The following is a 26,288-nucleotide window of genomic DNA, read 5'->3' on the forward strand; positions in this document are numbered from 1 at the left end:
GAGTCAGCGTATATGGTAGATTCATGTAGATTGTTTTTTAATAACTCTGGGGTCACTTGAACAATCATCTTTCTTTAACCATATAAAATAAAATTAAACATATGTTCATATTTCTTTAGAAAATGTACATCTTTGTAATCTCTCAGTTTTTTTTTTAATTTTTTTTTTGTTAACGTAGGTTTAACTGTATTTGAAACTGGTCAGAAGAAAACAGAAAAGAGGAAAAAGTTTAAAGAAAATGATGCATCCAATATTGATGGTTTTTTGGGACCATGGGCAAAATATGTGGATGAAAAAGATGTAGCCAAACCTTCAGAAGTAAGCTTTGATGTTTTTAATTGTCAATTCAGGTATACGCTGTATCTCTATGAAGGATATCTACATTAATAAACTTGAGATTTCTTTAGAGAACCAAATGACTCATCAAAATTTTTCTGCCTTTAGTTGATTGAAAATATACAATAAAATTTATTTGTTTTTCTTTGGGATATTTTTATTTACCTTTTCTGCTGATTTGTTTTCTCTCATGCTTTTTTATTAAAATACAATATTGAACAATTTTCATAAAGATTTCCTTGATATTGCTATTAAGCTGCCATGGTAGCTACTCTTCTGATACTAGACATTCAGATAGTAACTACAAAATCAGCCTTCTGTGACACTAGAATTGATTATAAATTTTATTGATTTATGAATTTATTTAAAATTTTCAACAAATTTTATCTCTATATATATCTTAAAAACTACTATAAAGTTTGTAAAGTAAATGCTCTGCCGTTCCCTTCCTCACCTCCTAATCTCACTGTCTCCATGAGCCAGAGAGTGTTCTAGGTCCCAGGCATACAGCAGTGGACAAGATCAAGAAAATCATGACCTCATGAAGCTTATATTCTAGCTGTTACTTACATCCAGTAAATCCATGTTTATAGTAATAGAAATAAACAGGTGATATCTAAGATGAATAAACTTATTCTACTATTTTTTATTTTAGATTTTATCTGTTGACTTGTTATTATAGATAGAGATTTACTACTACCCCATCTTCTGTCCCCAGCTCCTCCCAAAAAAATTGTGTCACAAATGTATAGCTATCACTTATATCCTTAGGAGTATGTAAAAACAATTAACTGAAAAACAACATTATGTGCTAAAATTCAGTTTCCATTCTGAAACTAGATTTTCTGATTGCCTTGTCTTTTTACTTGTATAACTAGTATAACATGTTAAAATTTATTTCTAGGTGTCACAGAAGGATAAGTTTTGAAAACTGATTTTATATAGTTGAAAAGTATTATCTAGTATCCATTATGTATTTAGTACCATTTCATAATTTGTGGAAGAGGTAATCAGTCTCTGCTTATAGAAGACTTGAGCTTGGCCGGGCCTGTAAGCCCAGCACTTTGGGAGGCCGAGGCGGGCGCATTGCCAGAGCTCAGGAGTTCGAGACCAGCCTGGGCAACACAGTAAAACCCTGTCTCTACTAAAACAGAAAAAATTAGCCAGGCGTGGTAGTGTGCACCGAGTAGTCCCAGCTACTCGGGAGGCTGAGGCAGGAGAATTGCTTGAACTAGGAAGAGGGAGGTTGCAGTGAGCAGAGATTCGCGCCACTGCACTCCAGCCTGGGCGACAGTGCGAGACTCATCTCAGAAAAAAAAAAAAAAAAAAAAAGTGTTGAGCTTGTTATCCTGGGAACATACTCGGACCAGATATGTAGAAGTCATTATAAAGAATTTATAACCAACTTTAGGTATAATGAGGTTCTAGAACATTCATTTTAAATTTCACTCCTTAATTTTCTTAGGAAGAGCAAAAAGAATTGGATGAAATCACAGCAAAGAGGCAGAAAAAAGGAAAACAGGAAGAAGAGAAACCTGGGGAGGAGAAGACAATCTTACATGGTAACATATTTTTTGTACATCTTCATTTTTATGAAAAACCTTCATATTTACTCTGTTCGCTGTTCATACAATATCAATTACCCTTACTATCAGCTGTAATAAAATCATTATGTTAAGTATAATTGTGTTGGACAATTTGTATCCCAAGGAAATTACAGCAGACTTCTGTATACTGATAAAGGAGAAAAAATAGCATGATTAATGATAGCCACAGATAATTTTTTTCCAAGTGTGAATGAATTTTATTAAATGGTAGATAAAAAGAAACTTGAATAGTCCACAATCTATTCTTTCGTAAGATAAAGTTGACTCTTTTGGTGTATTAATAGTGCCCCAGTCATTTTAAATGTTTTTAATGAAGCCAAATACTCAGGTATCCTCACAGTTCATAATCGTTATTCAGCTATATTCAGAATAAACTTGGATTTTCGTGTGAAAAGATGGAGCTTAAGGCTCTCATACTTATTTTGACTTGTAGAAGGAAATGCATATTCACCAAAACAAATCGTAAGTATTCTAGAATGTACCTGTTAATAATTAGTTATATTTAGGAAAATACATAGTGATTATCTAAAACTGTAAAGAATAGCTTAGCATTTACAGTGTTGCTTATTCTAATGTTATATTACATCAGATATTTAGGTTTGATGAAGCCATATTTGGTTCTTCAAGCTTCAGTTTTATCTCCAAGGAGTCTATTTAGTACTATGGTACTTAAAACTATAATAACAATAATATAAAAATAACATTTATTGAGTACTTACTCTGTGCCAGGCATGCTGCTAATTGCTGTATATATACTATGTCATTTAATTCTCACAGGTGACTTTATTGTAAAATTTGTGATGAAAGTGGGAAAAGATAAATGAAAAGGAACTGGAAGGGCATAAGAGAGGAAAGCAGGGGAAAAGGATAGTTGATATATTTTGTTTTGTTTTAACTTCCTTCTTAACCTGTTTTATTTCTGCTTCTTTACCAGTGACTAACAAGGCCCAAGTATTATCTTCCCTTGCTATAATTATGCCACAGTGAAGTCTTTATAGATCACTAAGATGTGTAAGTGATGAAAAGAAGTATAGATATTATCTAAAGGTCTATAATCTCTGGATATTTAGGAATTTCGAAATACTACCTCTAGTTGTAAATGATAGCAGTTATTTTAAGCACTTAAATCTTAGCTGACTCATGATCTTGACATCATTGGAGTGTTATTACCTAAACCTTAATATGGAATGATATACCTGTGAATAAAATGTTATTTTAAGAATGTTAGGTTTCATGACTATGGGTTGTATTTGTTTATTGATTTTCTTTGCCTTTTTGTTTCAGTTAAAGAAATGTATGACTATCAAGGCAGGTCCTATCTTCACATACCTCAGGATGTTGGTGTTAATCTACGGTCAACTATGCCACCTGAGAAGTGTTATCTTCCCAAAAAACAAATTCATGTGTGGTCTGGACACACAAAGGTAAGCAAGTTGGTTGTTTCTGTTTGCTGTAATGTTATAATAATGAAGCCAACGTAAAGTTTTAGCTGTTGATGTGGAACATTTAGTATTTCTGGTAAAGGTACAGGGAAGTCAAATTGAATGTAAGCCTGAGTTATGCTTTGGAGATGCCCACACATCCATCACAAGTGACTAATCAGTCTTCAAGGCCATCTGAATTGGCCATGACATAGCATTCATGATTTAGTGTCCTGTATCCTTGTAGCCAGGCCTTTCCCCACAAGCTCCTGCTACAGTCTTCTTCCTTTTGGGCACCAAATCAGTGAGTAATGGGCTGGTACTAGCACCAAGTCTCCTGCTTAGCTTCAGTAATTTTGCTTTAGCTCTGTGGTTATCACACTTCAGAGATTAGATGCGCCCTGGTTTATAAACTATGGTAATTTTTAAACTAATGCAGAGATAAGGGTCATGAAAAATTTTGATGTTGATATTCTTTGTCATCTGTACTATTCCAACTTATAATTTCCAACTCTTTGCAAAGAGCAAAGGACTAAGTAAAAAAAGGAAGAGAAGTGGGGGTATTAGCAATTTGATTGACTCAGGATTCCATTGGGTGAGGAACTCAATATTAAAGGTTAAAAAAAAAATCTTCAAAAGCTTAGTGTCAATAAGGCCTGCTCTTGGAATGCTAATGAAAGTTATTCTGGGGTGAGATTTTTGGAATGAAGAAAAATAGCAAATTAGGCTGCTTAATATATACTGTCTTTTCTTGATGCTTCATTTGAGCTGATCTTTTGAATGCTTCTGGTTGATAACTGTAATACCTTTTTATAGGGCGTCAGTGCAGTCAGATTGTTTCCTCTCTCTGGCCATTTATTGCTGTCTTGTTCCATGGACTGTAAAATTAAGGTGAGTTTTCAGTAACAGAGTAGGAGTGCTGCAAAGCTAGTTCTTTGTTTAAATCTGTTTGATTAATTATAAATAAATTTGGGTTTGTTAGGCAATTAGAAGCTAATTATTTTCTCTTAGATCCTGTAAATGCAGCAATTTATGAACTACTTCCAAACATAAAATCAACTATGGCTCTGTGGTCCAATTGGCTAGGCCCCTTTTTTTGTTGTTGTTTTTGTTTTTTGTTTTTTTGTTTTTTTTTTTTGAGATGGAGTCTTGCTGTGTTGCCCAGGCTGGAGTGCAGTGGCACGACCTCAGCTCACTGCAAGCTTCGCCTCCCGGGTTCATGCCATTCTCCTGCCTCGGCCTCCCCAGTAGCTAGGACTACAGGCACCCATGGTGGCTAGGCCCCTTTTTAAGCTTAGACAACTGATGAGAATGTAATCCAATCATTTTGGCTTTGGACATATAAATATTTAATCACTAATCATTATAGAGATTTTGTATATGTAATAGTTTATTTGTTTCTCCAAACCTTATGAAATAGAGAGGACATAGGTTAGAAATCCCATTTTTAGAAAGTAGAAAATGTAATTCATCCTTTTTCTTCTAAATACTAGTAGACACCAAGTAACTGGACTGCTCCCAGCCCCTTCTTTTCACCTTTTCTAGTCTTGGGAAGCTCCATCTTTAGCTTCTGTTCAGTCATAGAATGTGTGGTAGAAAAAACTCCGTTGCCAATGCATCTCAACCTGAATATGCAGGATGTCTTGAAAAAAATTTTGAATCTGAAAGGATAGTTCTTACCAGTTTTGTGTCTTCTCTTTGTCCGGACCATGATGATGGTTCAATAAATACCAACCCTATAGTGCTCTTGGGGCTTGAAAAGTTGAGTCATTAAAATTTTATCATTTGTAAATAATTCATGGATATTAACAATAAAAAAGGCCACTTTTTTTTATAAGAGCAACCATTTAGGCATTTGTCTCTAATAGCTTAAAATGACAGGCCAACATTTTGGAGTAAAAACCCCCATTTTACTTAACTTTTACTTTTACTTTGTACAAACCATGTTAATTGAGATGTTGGTCTTTTCTTTGACCAACCAAAAAAGCATAGAATTCAATTAGTTCACTTCTATAAACATTCTATTATGTGCAGGGGACTGAAAGTAAAAGCTTATAAAGGCACTGTCCCTCCCCTTAGGATGATCATTTTATTATGATATAAATGATTATTATAGAGGCAAGCACAAGATATGCTGGTTTCAAAGAGGAAGCATACCTTAGTAAGTTGGTTAACTAAGTAAAGGATGAGGAAACAGGAGTAGAGTATGCTTGAAAAGAGAATGGATCAGCATGGTGTGTGCTGAAAATAACAGTTTTGTGCTTGCTGGAGCATAACATCTAAGAGACAAGGAATGATTGCAGTCATGAGCAAGAAACCAGGTCTCAGAGGTCGTTTCCTAGTATGCTACAGTAACTGAGACTGTGTCCTATTGGCACCAGTGGCAAGGAAATGCTTTCTATTTTAGAGTACTAGCAACATTGTTGAGAATTGGATTCAAGGCAGTCAAGAATAAAGCTAGCCTTGAAGCTATTGTATTAATCCACCTTAGATATGCTGAGAATTATGAGCCTTTTATTTTAGTCTAGATCATCATTTTCTTACAGCTTCTGTAATACTTGTTATTCAGAAAAGTAAACAGAAAAGGCTTTCAGTATCAAAATGTTATATACATGGCAGTTTTAATAACAATTCCTTTAAACGTCATTTGTAGTGCTACAAAAGTAGAAACTTTTCATCCTAGAAAATGTATGAAATAGAAAAGAACAATATGAAAATGAAAACTTACCTGAATTAACTCCATCTATAGTTAAGTCTCTTTTTTGATGTAAATATCTTTAAAACTCTTTAGTTTTGAGCGTGTGTGACTCTGTGTGTGTGTGTTCCAAATAATATAACACAAACTGGCAGCACCAAGCTATATTTAATGATATTCAGTGTTTAATATTTAATGATTGAAGCTGTGCGTTTACACACACAGATGTGCACACACATAACCAGCATAGGGCTGTTGTTATTAATTGAAGGACCTTTATTAAATGTAATATTTCCATGTGTTGTTTTTTTTCTCCCCCAGCTATGGGAGGTTTATGGAGAACGGCGCTGTCTGAGAACATTTATTGGTAATGCTTCTTTTCTCTCCAACATAAATCTGGGAAGAATTTTTAAAGTAAGATAACATCATTGACAATAACTTTACTACACCGATAGGAAGTAAACTCTTCATAGATTTCAGCTGAATCTGGAAGGAGGAGTCAGTGTCCCCAGTTAGACAAAGAAAGAGAACTAGGAAGCAAGAGCAGCGGATGCAAAACAAAAATGGTGTGAGACAGCGTGCTGCTGAGGGGATCCACGTACATTTCAGGATTGTCAGAGTATGGGGGATGGTGAGAGACAAAAGCGGAGAAAAGTAGCAAGAGAGGGACCAGAGTATGGAAGACCTCCTGTGCCATTAATAAAGAGTTTAGCCTCTGTTGTGAGGGCATTGGGGAACCATTAAAGAGCTCTTGCCGGAAAGCAACATGATTTGAAGTTTACAAAGATCAAATGGCAATATGCAGGATGATTTGGTAGGGCAAGCCTGGAGGAAGGGAAATTAATTACACAGTTATTTCATAGGTCTGGTTTAGAGATGATGAGCGCCTGAACCAAAGCAGCAGAGAGAGAAAAGAAAGGAACTACGTATTAGAGTTAAAGTCAGTGAGATTTAGTAACGGCATGTGAATGATCACAGTGAGACAGGAATCTAGAGTGACTCCCATGAGGCTGGATGAACGATGGTGCCATTCACCAAGAAGGAACATAAGATGATGGTAAGGTTTTAGATACACCAAATTTGAGCTGCCTTTGGGATATTGAGGTAAAAATGTTCAGTAAGCAATTAGATAGCCAGAGGTCGAGCTTTGAAGAGAGACTGGGAATTGACAGCTAAAGCATAAAAAAAGGATGAGATTGAGAGAACTCCTTGAAGAAAGAAAGAAGGCCAAAGGGAGGACAGCTTTGTGACAAACCAGATTTTTGGTAGAGAAAGGTTTATTGTCTTTGTCAGATTTCATGTGAAGGCTAGTTACTCATTCCAAATTTAACTGTACCACGTTGAAACGGTGTGACTCGTAGTGGCTCTGTTTTTAGATTAAAGTGGGAGTCTGTTCAGCAGTGCTTTATGATTTTAAGGCCTCCCTGCACAAATTAATACTGCCTAAGATGTCACCGCAGCCTAAAGGAAGACTTGTGGAAGGCTCTCAGCTGTGTACAGGGGAACAAAATGTCTCCATCAGATAGAGTGGATTTGGTCCGCATCTGTCTCCCCTCTACTGGCAGACCATTTTTCTGTGGAAAACTGAAATTTTCCTCCTGAAGGAGATGATAGAAGCTCTGACTGGGACTCCAGCTGTAGAAAAGGATGCCTAATTACCATGACACGTACCTCCTGATGGGAGTTCACTGGAGGTGATGGTTTAGAGCTGCTGCATGTGGTTAACAATTTGTGCCATGCTCATTTTGCACAATTGTACGTGTCTTGGTCATGGTGGGGTGGCAAAAATAGGAACATTTTTGCTTTTGTTTAGCCACATTTTATTTTTCCCTGTAACTTTTAAAAGAGTTGAGTGAACTGGCAATATTCATTTTTAAGTAAAGTATAATAATCAGCACCTTAAAATTAGTGTATTATCAAAATATCATCTTAAAGCAAAAGAAGGTAGCCTGGGCAACATGGCAAAACCCTGTCTCTACAGAAAATACAGAAATTAGCCAGGCGTTGTGGTGTGCACCTGTAATCCCAGCTACTCGAAAAGCTGAGGTGGGTGGATCGCTTGAGCCAGGAAGGTTGAGCTTACAGTGAGCTGAGATCCAGCCACTGCACTTCAGGCTGGGCAACAGAGCAAGACCCTATCTCAAAATAAAAATAAAAAACCATGCAAGCTAATATAGTTTTCAGAAAGTCTCCTACATTCTGAATCAGTTTCTATGAAATTTGGTAATGTGATCACAGAAATATACAATTATTGAACAAGGGCTACAGTTTCCTGAACTTTAGGTTTGGGGCACTTTGTTTTCACTTGCAGCCTGGTGGACATTCTGAGAGTGAACCTCCAAAATTCCAGCAGCCATTTCTTTCACTGGCAATAATTGGTCTTTTACATTTCCATAAATTCTTGGCTAGCTAGTCATCACTTGTATGTACTGCATATTAAGTAATTGCTATGGCAGACTTAAAAGAAAAGTTAAACCTTTTCCTCTTGGTTCTTAACCAAGATGTTATGCATCAGAATCACCTGAGGAGCTTCTTCAAGGGGAAAAAAACGCCCACATTCTGAAGCCCACACATAACATATTCTAAGTCAGTAAATCAGGCGGTGGCATTCCAGTGATCTTGACTCACAGCTGAGAACCACTGCTTAGTGCTGTTTGTCTTTATGGTGTTAATGTTTTAAGAGAAGAAGATATATGATACTTCACCTCATTGCTGTTTCTGTTGACTCCACCTTTAGGTCACAGTAAGGCTGTTAGGGATATCTGCTTCAATACTGCAGGAACACAGTTCCTCAGTGCAGCCTATGACAGGTATCTTAAGCTCTGGGACACTGAGACAGGTAAGAGTTCACTTATGCTAATACACATTCATCTTACAAGTTATTTATATTTGAAATGGTGTGAGTAGTCTTTTGTGGCAAAATGGCACCTTCTCTAACTGCTGATTCTCATACCATTCACTGTCAGCAAATATCACAAAATACATTTGTAAGTCGAAACTGAGCATGAGTAGCTCTTTCACTGTGAAACTTGTTTCCACCAGATAGATTTTATAAAGCAAACGTACTGACAAATAAGCAAAGTGGAAATCTTGTATAGGCCATCTAATTGATTTTTTTGTTCCCCTACATCACCTAGCACTGTGCATTGCACATAACAGAAGTGCAATAAATGTCTAATGAACAAAATTAAATGTATTTGCGCAAATTGATTAAAATGTAGGTCTCAACTTTCACAGGCCAGTTGGTTTTATATATTCACAGCCATACTAATTGCTGTTTATTAATTGATTCACATTAATATGTTGTGGCTAGTATAATTTTATGTAATTATAAAAATTATCTTACTATCTTATTGTCTTACTGTCATTACCCTTACTGCATCTGAAGGGTAATGATAATAGTTAATGTTTATTAAACATCATTTAACAGGCATAATTGCTAAGCACTGATATTCAGTGTCTCCTTCAATCTTAATTTATCCCTATGAGGTAAGTACTATTATTATATTATAGATAAGGAAACTGAGGCTTAAAGAGCTAACTTTTTCAGGGTCACACAGCTAATAAGTAGCAGACTTGGGTTCAAACGAAGCTCTCTCTGATGCCAAAGCCCATATTCTTCAGCACTTTAGCAGTGGTTCTCAATTCTGGCCACACATTGTAATCATCTGAAGAGCTTTAATATTACTGATGCCTGAGTCCTACCTTCAAAGGTATTTATATAATTGGTATGGCTATAGACTAGATGATTGTACTGTGTAGCCAAGGCTGAGAGACTACTATTTTGCAGATTCTTTTAAAAATCAAGATAAAATACACATACAGTAAAATGTATGAAGTGCCTAAATATTCAGTGATTTTTTTTTTTTTTTTTTTGGTAAACATATCTATGCAGTTGTCTACCACAAAGATCAAGATCTAGAACATTTGCGGCACTCAGTAAAGGTTTCTTATGCCCTTTTCCAGTCTGTGCCCACTGCCAGTAACCATAGTAACCACTTTTGTCATCATTTTCCTCTTCATTTTTCCTCTTCTTAAACTTCTTATAAACGAAATCATACCATTTTTTCTCTTTTGTTTCTAGCTCCAGCATAATATCTGAGATTCCCTCATGGCTTGTACCAGTAGTTTGTTCTTTTTTATTGCTTGCACTATTCCATTATATGAATGAAGTTATAATTTATTTATTCTACAATTGGTAGTACCGATTTACTTTTGAAAAAATTATTTTTAATCATTAAAAATCTGTGAAAAAGAACAAATGTAGTTTACAGTAAAGAGCAAGCAGGCAGCCCTTCCTCAAAATGTATTAAGCAGGTGACCTCTAGATCTTAATCTCACAGTCATCTTTAAGTGGTCAAATTTATTTTACCTATTTAATTTGAGTCTTTGGTTTTAGGACAGTGTATATCAAGATTTACAAACCGAAAAGTACCTTATTGTGTCAAATTCAATCCTGATGAAGATAAGCAAAATCTCTTTGTGGCTGGGATGTCTGATAAGAAGATTGTGCAAGTAAGTCTTTCACAGTATTTTGTTAAGACTCCTAAGCTTTATGTTGTATAAGGGGATGGAATAAGTTAATAAGCTAATATTACTCATTTAATGTTTGCTACTTTTAGGGACGGCTAATGCACCATTCTTAGCAGAAAAATTTACATTTATAAAAATATCGTGTTGAAGATCTTCTCCTTCTCCACTTTCCAGAATTATGGTCTTTCATAAATCCACTCTACTTCTGTCTTTACCTTTTTTCTTGCCTGATACACAGTGGGACATTCGAAGTGGAGAAATTGTGCAGGAATATGATCGGCATTTGGGAGCTGTCAACACCATTGTTTTTGTGGATGAGAATAGGAGATTTGTGAGCACATCTGATGATAAAAGCCTAAGAGTTTGGGAATGGTGAGTTTCCATCAGTAGAAAATCTGATTTACATAAAGCAAGCAGTTAAAAATTATATAGACAAAGATGAAGCCTGATAATATGCAACCATTTGAATATTTTTTGCAACTGTGATCCTGGCTTGCCAATCAAACTGTTTTAACTATTTAAGTACTGACAATATGCAGATTAAATCCAAACATGCTACCATTTATAATCTTTGGATAGTCTTTCCAAAGGATGTGTATCTTGAGTTGTTTTTCTTATACGGATGACAGATTTGTATTTTGCTGTCTTACATTCTTTATTAGGTACCTTATTCATCTCTGTAAAATAACTGGCAAGCAGTAGGGGGACTGAGCATAAGATCATGGCCCTAGAACCACCCAAAGAAAATAGTGGTGTATATCTTAATTTTTTAAATGTCTACTTTTTATGATTTTTCAGTACTGAAAATGCCCCATGTATTAGTCTGTTTTCACACTACTGATAAAGACATACCCAAGACTGGGCAATTTACAAAAGAAAGGTTTAATGAACTTAAGTTCCACATGGCTAGGGAGGCCCCACAATCATTGATGAAGGAGAAAGGCACTTTTTTTTTTTTTTTTTTTTTTTTGAGACGGATTCTTGCTGTGCCACCCAGGCTGCAGTGGCGCAATCTCAGCTCACTGCAAGCTCCGCCTCCCGGGTTCACGCCATTGTCCTGCCTCAGCCTCCCAAGTAGCTGGGACTACAGGCGCCCGCCACCACGCCCGGCTAATTTTTTGTATTTTTTAGTAGAGATGGGGTTTCACTGTGTTAGCCAGGATGGTCTCGATTTCCTGACCTTATGATCCGCCCACCTTGGCCTCCCAAAGTGCTGGGATTACAGGCGTGAGCCACTGCACCCAGCCAGAAAGGCACTTCTTACATGGCGGCAGCAAGAGAGGGAATGAGAGCCAAGTGAAAGGGGTTTCACTTTATAAAACCATCAGATCTCATGTGACTTACTACCACGCAAGAACAGTATGGTAGAAACTGTCCCCGTGATTCAGTTATCTCCCACAGGGTCCCTCCCACAATACATGGGAATTATGGGAGTACAATTCAAGATAAGATTTGGGATGGGACACAGAACCAAACCATATCACCCCATATCATGACTCTGGTACAAATGTTTTACTTATGGAATATAGTCATATTATATTGGTTAATTGTACTTTACTAGGGAAAAAATATTTTTCTAAAGTTAAGCAATATACTAGTTTCATTACATATCATAGTGTGTTCTATAATTTAGTTGCAAAAAAAATGCTTACTAACCTTTTTGTTAAAACGAATGATTGGATGGAAGCCGCCATGTTTTTACAGTCAGTTATGAAGCACAGCTCAACCATGAGTCCTCCTAGCAAAGACTAAAAAGTGTGTCTTTCCATCCCCAGAAGCTTTTCTGCTTTAACAAGTGGAAAGCCTTGAATCACAGCCAGTGGTTTCCTCTTTATACTTAAGTCCCTTTGGGGACCTCAGCAGGTCCCTAACCATTGTCAGGACAATCTGGGTGACTGAGCATTTAATGTAATTTAATTGTAGTTTCTCCCACACTCACCACCACCACCACTATACCCCTTCAGATTATCCCCAATTAGTAGAGAGTAGTCTTAATATATAGCCCATGTTAGAGGGTACCTTACAGCTAAGATCTTTCTTAATTCAGAAATATTTTTTTACAGAGAATCTAATATGGACCCCAAGTTTTATATGAGCCACCTTAGATCACTTGCACAAACTCTGGATGCATATACATGTTCTGTTTTGTTTTATATACTTTAACAGGTTGATCATACTCAAACTTTCTGATGTTTCTACCTTCAGATATTTTCAATTTTAAATATAGAGTGGTATAAAAGAAGTTGGTAAATATTTAAATAATTGAGCAATTACAGGGCTTAAGGACATGTGTATGTGGGTATTCTGAAGTAAAACATTGGTCAGGAAAGAATTTTTATTAAACTAGCAGATAATGTTAGTATGTTTCTTTTTTTTTTTTTTTTTCATTTCCTCTCAGATCTTAGGAAATACTCCTAAAAAGTCATGATACTGTTTTGTTACAAATGATGACATTCTTTAGATTTTACTGTAACTTGGCTGGGTGCAGTGGCTGATGCCTGTAATTCCAGCACTTTGAGAGGCTGAGTTGGGTGGATCACTTGAACCCAGGAGTTTGAGACCAGCCTGGGCAACATTGTAAAACCCCATCTCTACAAGAAATACAAAAATTAGCTAGTGTGGTGGCACAGGCCTGTAGTCCCAGCTACTCGGGAGGCTGAGGCAGGAGGATTGCTTGTGTCTGGGAGGTCAAGGCTGCCGTGGTCTATGCTTGTGCCACTGCACTCTAGCTTGGGTGACAGAGCAAGACCCCATCTTAATAAAAGAATTAAAAATTAAAAGCTGGGCACAGTGGCTCACGCCTGTAATCCCAGCACTTTGAGAGGCCGAGGCAGGCGGATCACGAAGTCAGGAGTTCAAGGCCAGCCTGGCCAACATGGTAAAACCCCGTCTGTACTAAAAATACAAAAATTAGCTGGGCGTGGTGGCAGGCGCGTGTAATCCCAGCTACTTGGGAGGCTGAGGCAGGAGAATCGCTTGAACCCGGGAGGTGGAGGTTGCAGTGAGCTGAGATCATGCCATTGCACTCCAGCCTGGGTGACAGAGTGAGACTCCATCTCAAAAACAAAAAAAACAAACAACAACAACAAAAAACAGTTTTCAGTTTAACCCTTACTATGAGAGCCTTCCTGACCAGCCCACAGATGAGATTAGGTGCCTCCTCTCCATCGTCCCACACTGTCATTGGCTTTCCACAGTTTTTAGCATACTTCAAGTACTTGTTTATTTGTTCTCTTTCCTGACAAGTTCTTAACCATGAGAGAAAGAACAGTGTGAGTCATGCTTACTGTCTGTTCCCAGCACAGTGCCTGGCACACAATAGTGCTGAATCTGTAAAGAAGTCATTATTGGTGTAATTATCAATGATGTTACACTGATTGAGCTCTTTCTATATGCCAGTCACTATCCTAAGCATTTCACGTGAACTATCTGATTTAGTGTGCAAAGCAATCTTATAAGATAGGTACATTTGTTATTCCCATTTTATGTATAAGGAAATAAGATAGTTTAAGTAATTTGCCCAAGGTTATACAGGACACGAAAGGGCCAGAGTTCACACTCTGATCAAACTGATTCCAAAGCTTGTTTTTGTTTTTTGTTTTTAAGAGACAGGATCTCACTCTGTTGCCTAGACTAGAATGTAGTGGTGCAGTCATTGCTCACTGCAGCCTTGAACTCCTGGGCTCAAGCGATCGTCCTGCCTTAGACTCCTGAGTGACTAGGACTACAGGTGCGTGCCACCACGCCTGGCTAATTTTTAAATTTTTTGTAAGAATAGGGTCTCACTCTGTTTGCTGGGCTGGTCACAAACTCCTGGCCTCACAAAGCTTGAATTCTTGATCATATGAATGGATGGTTAGATGAATGAGGGGACTGGTAAGGAGAGAAGGTATTAATTAATAACTTGTATTTGATTTGATTAGTGAGAAAGTAATAAATGTGAGGGTCTGTCCTGCTACAAAGATAAATAGGAAGCAAAACCAACTCAGGATCCCCGGAACTGTGCTTCACTGCATAAATCATCCCAAAGAGCAATTACTAGTGATACTGGCCACTTGCTTAGGAGAGGAAGGGAGGCCCTGACCTCCTCAAAGTGACAGCTGACCTCCTCTATGGGAAAATTAGCAACACTGGGGCCTTCAGACAAGTGGTGTTTGCCAAACTTTTATACTTTGTACCTGCTTAGAGTACCATAATGATAAAAGAAAACAAAGGAAACGGCTTTCTTAAATAATACTACACAAACTAACTCTTATGTTCTAAAGGAGAATAAAAGCTATATTAGATATTCAGCAACTTGTAGGGTTTTGTTTTGTTTTGTTTTGTTTTGTTTTGTTTTGTTTTGTTTTGTTTGAGACAGAGTCTCGCTCTGTCACCCAGGCTGGAGTGCAGTGGCACAATCTTGGCTCACTGCAACCTCCACCTCCTGGGTTCAAGCGATTCTCCTGCCTTAGCCTCCCGAGTAGCTGGGACTACAGTAATGCGCCACCATGCTCAGCTAATTTTTGTATTTTTAGTAGAAACGGGGTTTCACCATGTTGGCCAGGATGGTCTCGATCTCTTGACCTTGTGATCTACCCGCCTCAGCCTCCCAAAGTGCTGGGATTACACTGCACCCGGCCAACTTGTGGTATTTTAATCGACCAAATGCATGAAATATCATAGGCATGTTTTTTCCAGAAGGCATTTATTTTGGTAAAATATTTTTTAAATAAAATTTTATAGAAGTTGACACTACTGTTTATCATTTAGCTTTAAAAATTCAGACTTTTATTAGGTTTTTTTCGTGAATTCATTTTTAAACTGGAGATTATTTGCAAGATATGAGTTACTAGCTTATTATACTGAATTACAGTATCCAATTAGTGCTGTGTTTGTTTGTTTGTTTATTTATTTATTTTTGTGATGGAGTCTTGCTCTGTCACCCAGGCTAGAGTGTCAAGTACAATGGCATGATCTCGGCTCATTGCAGCCTCCACCTCCTGGCTTCAAGCAATTCTCCTGCCTCAGCCTCCCAAGTAGCTGGGATTACAGGCATGTGCCACCACACCCGGCTAATTTTTGTATTTTTAGTAGAGATGGGGTTTTGCTATGTTGGCCAGGCTGGTCTCAAACTCCTGACCTCAGGTGATCCACCCACCTTGGCCTCCCAAAGTGCTGGGATTACAGATGTGACCCACTACGCCCAGCCATGTTGTGTTTATTAAATATAACTATGCCTAGCAGGCATTTTTGCTAGAAATAATGAAGTCCACCGGGTAGTTCAAATTCTTCTTCCACAGCTCCTGGTATGAAGATTCCTTGAAATAAGGTATCCATTTGAATATTTTTGTTTACTTTTGTTAACACATTGATCAATATGAACCTGGACTATGCTTAATTTAGAAAATTCTCATGTTTTAATTCATGTTGTAAAATTATTAACCACTAACAATACGAGGAGGGAAGAAACAAGCCTTTTTTCATTTGCAGCTCTTTTTAATACTTTTGGTTCATTATAAATGTCAGTTCTCATTGGTACCATAGAGGTATAAAGGGTTGGAGATCTGACAAATGATGTTATTCCCCAGGTTATACCTGAAAATGTTTTCCTCTGACCATGACCCTGATAGAAGTTTTTTCTAGTCATTTCCTCCTTCTGCTGGATGGATGGATAAATAGAGAAAATCCTTATATTAAGGCAAATTACTATTATTTTCCAGTTAATCAAAGTATTGGAACTTGAAACAGGGTTTGAAATTGAAATTGCTGCTGTATAATCTGTGTTATTCATCAGATTACAAAAAAAATATTTCTGGTCTCATGAAAAGCAACAAGACGAAAACTCCTTTCAGAAAAGAATTTTTAGCATGGAGAATATTAAAAATGAAAAGGCACTTAGAACTTTTGATGGTTCTAAATTTAGGTGGCTACTTTTTAATTTTTTTTTCATTCTTTCATCACTCACATGAGGTTTTTTTTTTTTTTTTATGTTTTTTCTCCTTCACCAAACACATTTGAAATGCTTTACATGTAAACTGAAGATAGTCCAGGTACCAAGCATTTATTTATCATCATTTATCATCATTTCTGGATGGGCTAGATCAGCTCACAGATCCCTACAGCTTTGCCTGCCATCCACCTGCATTGCTGCAGGCTGTTTAACACTCTCACCTCCTCAAGTTAAGGTAGGCTAGCCAGTAAATAACACTTCCCCATAGGCTTACCTCAGACATCTTGCTTCACCCTACCATGGTACATTTTTAATTTAATTTTTGGTTTTATTTCAACAGCTTTTGGAGTAAAAGTGGGTTTTGGTTACATGGATGAATTATATAGTGGTGAATTCTGAGATTTTAGTGTATCCATCACCATGGTACATTATTAAAGAACTTTCTTTCAGTAACAGATTTTTTAACATAAAGGCCAAAGTTTAAATGAAATAGAAAACAAAATCACCACCACTGTTATAATGATCATGGAAAGTGATTTATGAAGTACAGGATTTACCATAAGCAGTACAGTGTCATCTTGTGATTTTTCTTCTTCCAGAAAGTTTCATGAAAGATTTATTAAATATATAATATCAAGAGTTTGCTTTTATTTGCATATTATTCCTTTGTTCCAGAGATAATTCTGAAGGTACTTTTTAAAAGTTGCTTATTCTGATATGCTATTTAAAATTTTTAGGGATATCCCTGTGGATTTCAAGTACATAGCAGAACCCAGTATGCACTCAATGCCTGCAGTGACTTTGTCTCCAAATGGTGAGTTAGTATGTAGATTGTATTTTTAAATGAGCTTCTAAGATACAGTGTGATTTCTTTATTCAAAAGAACTTTGGCCCCTTCCTTCTTGGGGAAGTTTGTCACTGTGCCATTATTTGTATAAGGTAATCTTTACAATATTAGAAAGAATTACTGGTTTTCATATGCAAGTCACCTCACCTACTTTTCTGTGTCTCTTTTTAAATAAAAATAAAAGAAACAATGATTTACAGCTAACATTGATTGAACATCAGATTTTTATTTAACAATCAGTTTTCTTTTCTTTTTTCTTTTCCCCTCCTCTCCCCTCCTCTCCTCTCCCCTCCCCTCTTTTCTTTTCTTTTCTTCTTTTCGAGACAGGGTCTCCCTTTGTTGCCCAGGCTAGTCTCAAACTCCTGGGCTCAAGTGATCTTCCCTCCTCAGCCTCCCAAGGTGCTGGGATTACAGGCCTAAGCCACTATGCCCGGCCAGAGTTTTCTTTTCTAATTCTCCTTCCAAACAGAATCACGTTCAGTAAATCATTTAATAATGATTTGGCCAAGGCAGAAGAATCACTTGAACCCAAGAGTTTGAGACTAGCCTGGGCAACATAGAGAGACCTCATCTCTACAAAATAAAATTTTAAAAATCAGCTGGCATGGTGGTGCACATTTGTAGCCCTAGCTACTTGGTCAGGCTGAGATGGGCAGTTTGGTTGAGCCAGGAGATTGACTATGATCATGTGACTGTACTCCAGCCTGGGCAACAGAGCAAGACCCTTCTCTCTAAAAAAAAAAATAGTAATAGTGATTTACTGTAAACTCTTTCAGGGGATAGGAAGTTTTGGTCTGATTCTCCATAATGAGAGAACACTTTAGCAATTCACTATAAAAGATTTTCTCAGGCAAAAATTAAGAAGATAAATCTATTTAATATTGTTTAATCCATTGTCTTTTACGTACAAGATAATTTGTGCTACAGATATACTGACAATATACTGATGTAATTATAGCTTTACATGAGAGTCTTAAAGTGGGAGTTCTGATGTTTGGGGGACCTTGTCATTGAAACCACTGTCAATTCACATAATTAACTCCAAGTGTAGGGCAAGGAAGAATTTGCTGTTCCATCAGGGCCTCTGACACAAGCAAATGGTAATAGTTGTCAAATGCTCTATCATTTTTATGAGAAGAGAAACCTAACTGAACCTTTTTTTGATCATTGCTAGATTATATACTTCGTCACTGTGCATCTATATTTCATGTAGCGTATTTTTAAACCACCTATTACAGATTTTGTGCCCATCTTGAACAAGGCCATTTACCCACTCAGGCATTATTTAAGTCTGTTTCCTTAGTAAGTAATGTTTACATGTACAGTTGGCCCTTTGTATCCATGAGCACCATATCCTGGGATTCAACCAGCACGAATCCAGAATATTCAACAAAATAAACAATAAAAAATAACAATACAACAATTAAAAACAACACAGCATAACAACTAGGTACAAAGCATTTACGTTGCATTAGGCATTATAAGTAATCGAGAGGTGATTTAATGTATACAGGAGATATGTAGGTTATATGCAAATACTATGCCATTTTATATAAGGGACTTGAGCATCTGTGAATTTTGGTATTGGGTAGGGGTGCAGATCCTGGAACCAATTCCCAACAGATACCAAGGGATGACTATATATAGGATGCAAGTATAGTCATGCATTCCTAACAACAAGGGTACTTCTGAGAAATGCAGTGTTAGGTGATTTTGTCATTTTGTGAACATCACACAGAGTACTTACACAAACCTAGATGGTATAGTCTACTTACCCTAGGCTGTATGGTATAGCCTGTTGCTCCTAGGCTTTACCCCTGTATGGCATGTTGCTGTTCTGAATAATGTAGTCAGTGGTAAGCATTTGTGTATCTAAACATAGAAAAGGTACAGTAAAATCTCAGCATAGAAAAGGTACAGTTAAAATTTAGCACTATAATCTTATGGGACCACTGTCATACGTGCGGTCCATCATTGACCAAAACATTGTTAAGTGGTGCATGACTATAGACGCTGCAGTTTAGGCTCTAGGGGCTTTGATGAATCCTAAGTAGAGAAAAGCATTGTAGCCTTTTAAAAAGTTACTATAATTTTTAATATATCTTTTTTTGTATAGTTTTATTTAATAACCCTAGGCTTTCTCACCCCTTAATCTTTCTTTATTCTGTAATTACCACAGATAAGTCTCTTTCTCCTATTTCCCATAGTTCTGTTGTCTATACTTACTATAAATTAATTTCATTTCACAACTTTTAGCTTATTTCTTTAACATTAAGCTTGGAATTTCTATATTTCCTTATTTTTTTAAAAACTTTTATATGAGAGTGCTCAATGATATAGGATCGTATATGCAAAAGCCATTAGTTTATATATTAATACCTCTTGCCAGTGACATATTTATAACATTTTACAGGTGGTATAGTAAATTTATTTTTTAGTATTATAAAGTATTTGGGAGCAAAACTTATATTAATCACAGTGAACATATTTAAAATAAAAAGTTTTAAAAATTGTTTTAGTCTTCCTCTAAAATACCTCATTTATTGAATTTACAGGAAAATGGCTAGCATGCCAATCAATGGACAACCAAATCTTAATTTTTGGAGCACAGAACAGATTTAGATTAAATAAGAAAAAAATTTTTAAGGGCCATATGGTAGCAGGCTATGCTTGTCAGGTGGACTTTTCACCAGACATGAGGTAAGTTTAAATCTTCTAATCCATTCTCGTATTCAAATATGATTATATAAACTGTTGTTGTACAAATAACACTTGACACATCACTCTCACATAATATGTTTTTATGAGAACTCGATGATCTGTCAAAATTGTCAAAATGCTGGATATAAAGGCAAGAACAAATTAGGAAAATTACATTTTGCTTTTTTTAGGTTCTTGCTTCAGTATATTCCCTTCTATTACTTAGGCTTATGCCCTTTAGCCACCTAATAAATCCCTGTCTATATAACCAATGCCTTATTTTCTCTGCTTTTCTAAGCAAGACTAGAAGTGCTATAATCACTGTATTGCTATGATTGAATGAACACCAGAAGAATTAATTGTGTATTACAGTGTTGCAGTTACAGCTTCACTACAGCTTGTCTGTGCTGAAACCTCAAATCCAGCTTTTGAATATTTCTAGGTCACACTGGATTTGTGAAGCCTACAGCATGGTTCTTAGTTAAAATGTATAGGCAGAAGTAATTTAGAAATCCCAGTAACTTTGTTTGTTTAGCCTAGTAATTGGGCCTACCTCTGATTCAGTCTTAGATGTATTCAAAAGATATTAAAGCCAAAAAGTAATTATGAAAGTGTTAGAGCCTACTGTGATAGAATAGATCTAAAGGTGTTCCCTAGCTATATGTGGAATTGGTTCTCCAGTCTCTGTTTCTGACTATCTAGAGACTGATTGTGTAACCTCATTCACTGTGGCTCCTGGGACTCCCAGTCTTCCCAGTTAAAAATAATTTTCTACTCTTAGATTGGTTGGGAGGTTTTTTTAATAGAATTTCAAATTATAGACTGCTTCATGTTCTACCATCTTATTCTGAGTATTGTATATTTGCATTGGATTTTTTTTTTAATGTTAACGTGAAAAGATAACGTCCCTATTCCTCATTCGCCTTACCAATTTAAGGTATTTTAATAATTTGAATTTATCTTTCTTCCCATTATAGTTATGTGATTTCAGGAGATGGAAATGGAAAATTAAACATTTGGGACTGGAAGACCACAAAACTCTACAGTCGATTTAAAGCTCATGATAAAGTGTGTATAGGTGCAGTGTGGCATCCTCATGAAACTTCTAAGGTCATAACATGTGGTTGGGATGGTCTCATTAAATTGTGGGATTAATGAGATTAATCCTTAAACTAGCTGGGATCATTTTTGATCCATTGTCATATTTATATTTAATTATTAAATGTATCTGATGATAACTTGATTTACAGATAATGTTGATGACATTGACCCTTTGTTTAAAAAAAGAAACTGTAAATTTGACATAATTTCATTTGCAACTTCATTTTGTTTTTTATAAATGTTATTTATACAGAAAGTGGCTATTGACTTTCTATTTGACAAGTAGTTATAATTGGCAAGCAGTTTGAGTTTATACTCATGACATACTGAAAGCATCTCTTTGGGGTCAAGAAAGAATCCCTAGTGGATTTGGGATTCTAGAGGAGGTGTTATAATTAATTATTCAGAAAAATGCATGTATTTACCTCTTCAACCAAAAGGGCAGTAAAGAATAGGGATAATATATTTTAATGTAAATTTGGAAGAAGGATAAAATCACCCACAGTTACTCTCCCTATTATTTTCACTGGGTCAAGTTTTAATCTTTTGGCTTCATGAGTTCCACTCCCTTTGATGATATATGTTGTATATTTTTAGTTGTAAAGCAGTAATCTTTAACTGTAGCATTCCTCTAATTATAAACAGTGAAAAATCAAAATCAGTCCAGAGTTCTTTTGTTGACTTAATTCCTGATCAGTATAGACAGGACTATATATATTTAATCAGAGAATTACATTATATCTGAAGATGGAGCTCAGGAGAATGCACCAAGACTTTGAATTGTATTTACATTCACTGTCAGTAAAGACCTGGCTACGCTTTGAGAAATCAGGATCTCCTAGGTCATTGCTTCGCAGCTGTGATTACTGAAATCCTCCTCATAGGAGATAAAGTACGAGGGGTAGAGTCCAAGATGTCAACTTGTAATTTCTTTGAAGTCATATGTTTTATCTTTAAAATTATTCTTATTTTACCTGTGAATATATACAACAGAACTTTTTAAGATTAAAAAATTTTTAAACCTCTATGTCTGAAAAAAAAAATGACACTCCTGGAAGATGGCTAGGGTTCCCCAGTTTGAGAAGCAGTGGCCATGGTGAAAAATAGTTTTTGAAAACATCAGATTATAAAATCAAGATAGTCCGGACGCGGTGGCACATGCCTGTAATCCCAGCACTTTGGGAGGCTGAGGCAGGTGAATCACCTGAGGTCAGGAGTTCAAGACCAGCCTGGCCAACATAGTGAAACCCCGTCTCTACTAAAAACACAAAAATTAGCCAGGCTTGGTGGCTGGCGCCTGTAATTCCAGCTACTCAGAAGGCTGAGGCAGGGAGAATTGCTTGAACCCAGGAGTGGAGGTTGCAGTGAGCTGAGATCATGCCACTGCACTCCAGCCTGGGCGACAGAGCGAGACTCCACCTCAAAAAATAAAATCAAGATAACCTCTTGAATGTAATAGCTCATAGCACTTTAATTTGGCAAGCCATTTTTCCTGTTTTATTATAAATCTATATTAGATGTTTGAATATGGTTTGAAATATTTCACTACCGTGCTGAAAAAGGTTGGTTGATAGCAGCTTGGAGTGCTAACTGGAAGATCAAAATCATGTCTCTTGCTGATAACCTAAGAGCATTAAGCTCTGAGTCCAGTGAGGTCATAGCAGTGTATGCTCCTTGCCCTTACGGAGTGTCTGTTTTTAGAAATTTAGATTTTAAAAGGCGTGGGACATACGACCAGGCCCTATAGCCACATAAATATAAATTTCATAGAAAAAGAATAAAAGCGGAGATATATTTTTTGACACAGAGGCACCCAAAGAAATACAAACATTGCCTAGCTGCTGCCATTTCTGTAACTGCCCAGAAGGGTGACAGATTTCTGAAGGGGAAAGGATTCAGATATGACCTTTTCTTTAGTCCCAACCACTAGTTTTAACAAATGTGAATTATTGAAATGTGAAGGGACAAAAAGAATCATACATTTAAACTGTCTTGTTCAGCATACCAATATTGTATGTTACAAATCATCATTTCTAAATCTGGATTGATTCTGTTGTGTTTTTGACTGTTTCTAAAGTAAGTGTGTATAAAAGTCTCCTTTTTAAAAAGATCATATTTTTAAATAAAGCATTTTTTGTAGAAAGTGCTATCAAAATGTTCATCTTGTTCATCTTTAGTCTCCTTTTGAGTCTTAAGTGTATTGAGACACTAGATTAAGCCATTTGCAGTTTTAAATGGGTCATATGGAGAGAAATAATGCTTTAGAGGTGGATGTGGTTTATTCAGGTATATCAGTGGGTTTATAATTATATAATAAAATACATGGCAGTACCCTCAGAGCACATTAACACATTCCATATTCATTTAGTGGTGGCACTAAGTCATGACTACACAACATTTTAGAGTACATAAATGAGTGGGGTTATATTTCAGCATAAAAAGTCTCAAGATCACATTGTTACTGGACTTAGGTGGTTACCATCTGGCTCCTTTTCCTTATTGCAGCCTTTTTGTCATATCCAGGACAGATTTCCTTCCTAAAAGTTACGATAAAAGTGATGCTTTAGTGAAATATTTACTGGAATGAATATTTAAATATTGAGTCACAAGCTGGAAATATTTTGTCCTAAACAAGGAACAAATTTTAAGATTAAAAAACGGGAGTAGTGTTACACAGCCACATTTCTAAGTAGTTCTTGAGGCTACATTGTGGGGCTGCCTGGTATCCTTGGTATATTTATAAAATACCTGTAAGAAAACATTGACTTTGAAATAGCAAACCCTTAGATGGTAACCATAAATATCACAACACTGGGAACAATTATAGAGACTTTTCTTGGAGAACATTGTTTCTCAGGGTATGGACTGAGAACCTCTGCATCTGAATTACCTAGGGGTTGCGTTGCTTACTGAGATGTAGAATTCAGAAAAAAGTAGGAATTATTTGGGGGAGCCATTGTGAATTCAGGTATGGGAAGGGGTATAAAGTGGCATCCAGGCACCCAGTATCCTTCAGCAGTATTAAATGTGGGTCTCAAAGTGAGACCTGGGGAAACTGATTCCATGTATCATCACAGATGCATATTTTTCACATTTTGACATTTTTGAATAGGGCTCTAGTTAAAATAAATGAATGTCCTAGTTTAATGGGCAGCATTTAATTTTTTCTTAGTATATCATAAAATAATTGATGAAATACAGTAAAAACAAGGCAAGTACGAAGGGCCTGAGAAGAAGAGAAGATCCAATGGGAGGAAAGTGTCTGTTGCAGCACTGGGCTCAAAATTCAGGTTATGAAATGTTTCTTTGATCACTGAGTAAAATGAACGAACTAACTGAAGATTCAAATTAAAAATATATATTTATATATATATGTAGACACACAAATAATCACTAGAAAGCTTTTTTTTTTTTTTTTTTTTTGAGACAGTTTCACTCTTGTTGCCCAGGCTGGAGTGCAATGGTGCGATCTCAGATCACCACAACCTCTGCCTCCCGAGTTCAAGCGATTCTCCTGCCTCAGCCTCCCGAGTAGCTGGGATTACAGGCATGCGCCACCACAGCCCAGCTAGTTTTGTATTTTTAGTAGAGATGGGGTTTCTCCATGTTGGTCAGGCTGGTCTCGAACTCCTGACCTCAGGTGATCTGCCCTCCTCAGCCTCCCAAAGTGCTGGGATTACAGGCATGAGCCACCGTACCCGGCCAGCTTTTTTTTAATGTAGAATTTTTGTTCCCAACTCAGATCTTCAAATCAAAGTCAGCACTTTTAGCAAGATCCCCAAATGAGAAGCACTGAGGTAGAGTCCCAAATTTATCTTGGGCATTTGGGAAACTAGACTATGTGGGACATGTAAAGTCAAAGAGAAATTTAGCTGGTCAAAAATATGCACTGTACACATGTGTATGTGCATGTATATGTGTGTATAATGTATGCACATAGTATATGTGTACATGTTCCATATTCATAGTCACTTTAATAATTGTGGAAACAACTTTCTAAACCTAATTGCAATTTTATCTGGAACTTAAAAGAAGTCACAGACTTGCAGCCAGCACCCTTAGAGTGACTATTTTTAGTGACAGTAAGTGAAAGTGAAACTCTTGATTCTACAGCTTCTTACATCTGCAATAGCTGTCATCAAATGAGTTTCTTTCATTCCCCACTCTCCAGCCTCCAGCTTTTTAGGTCTGGGGGAGCAACTCAGATCTCCATGTTTTATTTGTTTTAATATACTTCTGTCCAATAGATATATGTCAGTCATATATGTGATTTTAAATTTTCTAATAGCCAGGTTTAAAAGGGACTTAATAATATATTTTAACATATCCAAAATTTTATCTGAAGATGTACTCAATTATTTTAAAAATTAATATTTTACTTTTTTCATATGGAGTCTGAAATCTGGTATATATTTTACACTTACAGCACATCTCAATTCAGACACTACATTTTCATCAAAGTATTTTATCTTTCATACAAAGTAGATTTACATGCCCAAATTGTTTCAAACATACTTAGAAGTTTTCCAATAACAAAATCAAGTGCAGTCACGTGTTGCTTAACAATGGGGATACGTTCTAAGAAATGTGTCATTAGGTGATGTCATTGTTGTCCGAACATCATAGAGTTAACGTATGTACCAAACCTAGGTGGTATAGCCTACTCCATTGCATAGTTCCATTATAATCTTAGGGGACCACCATCATATGGTGGTCTGTCACTGAGCGAAAGGTTATTATGTGGTATGTGACTGTATATTTTAATTTAAATTAATTAAAAGTAAATGTAATTTAAAATTTAGTTTCTCAGTTAACCACAGTTTTAAGTGCTCAGTAGCAATATGCCTCTAGAGGCTGCCATATTGCACAGTACAGTTATAGTACCACATTTTACATAAGAGTGGCTCAGATATTCAGTATACTGCCTCATCTTCTGAAAAATATTGTAAGGTTCAATCTGATCGTAAAATATCTCATATAAAAAATACAAATGCTCATATTTTTCTTGCTACATTTTGGGTAATTTCCTCAGGCCTGTCTTCCAGGTTTTTTTTTTTTTTTTTTTTTTTTTTTTGAGACAGAGTCTCGCTCTGTCGCCCAGGCTGGAGTGCGGTGG

At 36.4% G+C, this 26,288-nt stretch overlaps 1 protein-coding gene across 2 annotated transcripts in view; it reads left to right on the forward strand.

Moving 5' to 3' along the window:
* The window catches only part of CDC40 (cell division cycle 40), a 51,806-nt gene extending 28,479 nt beyond the window's left edge, over positions 1–23,327 (forward strand). For both annotated transcript variants that reach the window (NM_015891.3, XM_047418862.1), the window contains 11 exons: positions 179–318; positions 1,802–1,898; positions 3,228–3,367; positions 4,181–4,255; positions 6,381–6,426; positions 8,797–8,898; positions 10,459–10,574; positions 10,831–10,964; positions 17,262–17,338; positions 19,927–20,071; positions 21,049–23,327. In NM_015891.3, the coding sequence (NP_056975.1) occupies positions 179–318; positions 1,802–1,898; positions 3,228–3,367; positions 4,181–4,255; positions 6,381–6,426; positions 8,797–8,898; positions 10,459–10,574; positions 10,831–10,964; positions 17,262–17,338; positions 19,927–20,071; positions 21,049–21,226 (1,250 nt within the window). In that variant the 3' untranslated portion in view covers positions 21,227–23,327. The remainder of the gene's footprint in view (positions 1–178; positions 319–1,801; positions 1,899–3,227; positions 3,368–4,180; positions 4,256–6,380; positions 6,427–8,796; positions 8,899–10,458; positions 10,575–10,830; positions 10,965–17,261; positions 17,339–19,926; positions 20,072–21,048) is intronic.
* Positions 23,328–26,288: the final 2,961 nt, after the last annotated feature.

The sequence above is a fragment of the Homo sapiens genome, chromosome 6 (genome assembly GCF_000001405.40).
Source record: "Homo sapiens chromosome 6, GRCh38.p14 Primary Assembly".
Lineage (NCBI taxonomy): Eukaryota > Metazoa > Chordata > Mammalia > Primates > Hominidae > Homo > Homo sapiens.